Source organism: Homo sapiens, chromosome 2, assembly GCF_000001405.40.
Source record: "Homo sapiens chromosome 2, GRCh38.p14 Primary Assembly".
Lineage (NCBI taxonomy): Eukaryota > Metazoa > Chordata > Mammalia > Primates > Hominidae > Homo > Homo sapiens.
In genome coordinates, this window is record NC_000002.12 from 208,986,220 (window position 1) to 208,989,864 (window position 3,645).

At 33.0% G+C, this 3,645-nt stretch overlaps 1 annotated feature.

Annotated features, from left to right (window-relative positions):
* Positions 2,664–3,165: an enhancer, noted in NCBI's record as "NANOG hESC enhancer chr2:209853607-209854108 (GRCh37/hg19 assembly coordinates)". NCBI's record gives its function as "activates a minimal SCP1, AML or CMV promoter by ChIP-STARR-seq in naive H9 embryonic stem cells {active_cell/tissue: H9 hESC(naive)}" and the evidence as "EXISTENCE:reporter gene assay evidence [ECO:0000049][PMID:30033119]".

A 3,645-nucleotide genomic window follows, 5' to 3' on the forward strand; every position in this document is an offset into this window, starting at 1 on the left:
ATATTTTAGTATTAGGCACAACACAAGATTACTAAGTGTAGTTAGCTGATTAAAAACAATGTTTTGGTATTGAAGCATTCTGTGAGAAGTATGTTACTAGAAATAAAACTGCATTGGTGATTCTTAAACTGCACACCTTTGAGTCTGAGAGATGAGCTCTTACTTTAGAAAAATGATGGTTAAACGTATGCATTTTTCATTCATTGTTGGGGTTCCTTGTGCCCCTTAAGCCCACACAACTATTTAGGCTATTTAGGCTTAAAAGCCTAGCTTTATACAAAAATTTATAACATATTTAGATACAAAATTTTAATTTAAATATAAAATTTTAATATAAAATGTATTATTAGGCTTTAAGCCAATTACCCAGTATTACAAGTTGTATTTTCACCCATGGGTGTCTCCAATCTGAAGTCTTACCCCACAAAAGTGGGGATACGATAAGATGCTGGACCCTATGTTCACCTTTTTATTGTATAGGGCCTTATTGTTGTGTAATTTGCATAATTTAATTAAAGTTAGAAAGGGGGAAATGCTGGCCAGGTAAAACCAGCAGACACCCTTGAACACACTTTATAGTGGCCAAAATTTGTCCATTTTTTTATTGAAGTCCACAGCTTTATTGAAATGTCTGTTTCTCCCATCAATTCTGTAAGTTTCTGCTTCACATATTTTTGGTTGTTAGGTACACATATGTTTATAATTTTTACATATTCCTGATGGACTAAACCTTTTTCTTTATAAATGTCCCTCCATCTCTTACAACAATTTTTGGCTCAAAGTCTATTTTGTCTGATACTAGTACAAGCCATTCCAGCTGCTTGTATGGTATATCTGTTTTCTTTTTTTTTTTTTTTTTGTTATACTTTCAACCTATTTGCATCTTTGATTATAAAGTGTGTTTTCCCCAAATGTCATATACTTGGGTCTTGTTTTTTACTTTAGTCTGACTAGCTTTTTATTGGATTGCTTAATCTGTTCACATGTAATGTTTTTAGTGATATGGTTGCATTTATATCTTCTCTCTTGCTTTTATTTTCTATATGTCTAATGGCCATTTTGGATTTTTCTTCCTTCTATGTTACTTCTTTCTCTAACTAAAATATTTCATAGGGTACCAATTTAATTTATTTAATGATTCTTGAATATATATTTTTAAATCATTTCTTTAGTGGTTGTTTTAGGGCTTACAATAGACATATATACTCTACAGAATCTATTTCCAATGTATATTAATTAAATTTTATTAAGATATAGAATTTAGTCCTGTGTAGTTCCATTGCCCTTCTCTAACTTTTTGGGCTGTTTGTTTACATATTACATCTTTATGTGTTGCAACCCCAACAATACATTGTTATAATTATTGTTTTATGCATTTTTATGTTTTAAATATTATAATTATTACTTTATATTGTTTCACGTCTTTTAAAGAAACTAAGAGACTAAAAGAGAGCATAAATGAATCTATAAATTTTTTAAAAATAACCTTTTTATGTACCATTATTTTGGTTCCTTTATTTCTTCCTGTAGATTATAATTACCATCTGTATTATTTTTTAACTTCAAAATAATTACCACCTCTCTCCTTTGTGGTGTTATTGTTAAGTATATTTCTAAAGTTCATAGCCTGACAATAAAATCTTTTGACATTGTTTCATGCAATTGTTTTTTAAATTAATTAAGATTAGAAAAATAGTGAACTATATAGATACACAATATTTCATTATTACTGACATAATTACTGGGGCTCTTTGGTCTTTTTTTGTTTGGATTCACATTATTTTCTTGTGTCATTTCCTTCAGTATAAGGGAATTTCTTTAGTGTTTATTTTTAACGACAGTCCTCTAGGAACAAATTCTATTAGGTTTTATTTATCTGGACTGTCTTTTCTTCATCTTTACTCTTGAAAAGTGGCTTTACTGCATATACAATTCTCAGCTGACAGCTATTTTTCTTTCAGGACTTTGAATGTGTCATTTCCCTGGTTTTCATCCTCAGTTGTTCCTGCTGAAAAGTCAGTTGTTAATCTTATTGTGATCCCCTTGTGATGACTTATGAGTCATTTTTCTTTTTTTGCTTTAAGATTTTCTCTTTATCATTGGTTTCAAATTTTTTGCTATGGTATGCTTGGGTGTATTTCTTTTGTGTTCATCCAACTGGGAGTTCATTGAGCTTTTTAGATGTGTAGATTAGATGTGTAGGTGTGCTTTTCAGCAAATTTGGGACAATTTCAATCATTATTTCTTTCAATATTGTTTCAGTCTCTTCCTCCCTCTCTTCTCATTCTGGTATACCCATTATATATATGTGGGTATGCTTAATGATTTCCTACATTTTTTGAGACTCTGTTTTCTTCATTCTCTTATGTATATTTTTAGATTGTTTGACCTCTATTGATCTGTCTTCAAGTCTGCTGACTGTGTTCTGCCAACCTAAATTTACTGTTTGTTTTATTATACTTAAAAACTCCAGAATCTTTATATGATTCTTAAAAAAATAATTTCTATCTACTTATATTATAGTTGATGAGTTCTTGATGTCATGCCTTCCTTTAATTATTTAGACTTGGTTTCCATTAGGATTTTGAACATATGAGCAAGCTAGGATGGAAACAATCAGGCCCCAGTATTCTTGGTCTTTCATTCCTGAAACGGAGCCCTAACCCTGTGAGCAGGAGTTGGGGAAAAGGGGAGCTCAGTGTCAGGGAAGGGAGACCTACTTCATGCAGTCAAACCTGCCAGGGATAGGACTTCTGCAACATAGCACTGAGGCAGGATAATAGATGGTGATGACCTTCCCTCCTGGCTAAATTCATAGCACTAGATTAGGAGCTAGCAAGAGCTGTTGTTTTTTTGGCTGTACCTGCTGAGAACAAAGCATCTGGAGCAGAGCTTCCATCCCATAAAGCTGGCAGAGGGATGTGGGAGCAGATCACAGCCCAAATGTCACTGACTGTGTTTTCACTGAGATTTAGTAGATGTTCTTGAATAAATGTTTCTTCATTTGCCGTATGCCTTTGGGGCAAATCCAGAAACTTTAAATGGCTGTGTGTGTGTGTGTGTGTGTGTGTGTGTGTGTGTGTCTGGGTGTGTGTGTGTGTGTTTAAATATAATTTTCACCAGTCAAATAATTGTTTCACTAGAGAGTTTACTGAGCTTTTCACACTATCATTATGGAGGTCCTAACCGGTCTATCGTTTGTTTCACTAATTTTTATTGATTATTTACATTTTAGTAACTGCTAAGGAGAATATCCTGACAGGCAAGAAACTGCCTCTTGTATTTTCATTTCTGCTATGTGTACAATTTTCTTACAGATTTAACGTTTAAAGAATCTTGGCTTTATTGCTGGTCAATTACATATGGGTTCTGTAAATTGTTACAGGTAAGTCAAAATGACCTGTGATCTGGACCAGGCTGATTCTCTGGTATCTTATTTGTTTTTATCTTTCTATTCCCCTTTCTGTCTGTGGCTATTGGATTTTTAGATCGGAACAATGTGAGATGTTCTTGCTGTACCAGACTGCAACAGAGCTTGAAACCAAATTTCCAAGGTTAACTTACCAAGGTCACATGTCCAGAAAGTACCAGGGCCCAGTGAAATTGAAATGTGAACCCATTTCTTTTGTCTAAAATTCTTTTTTA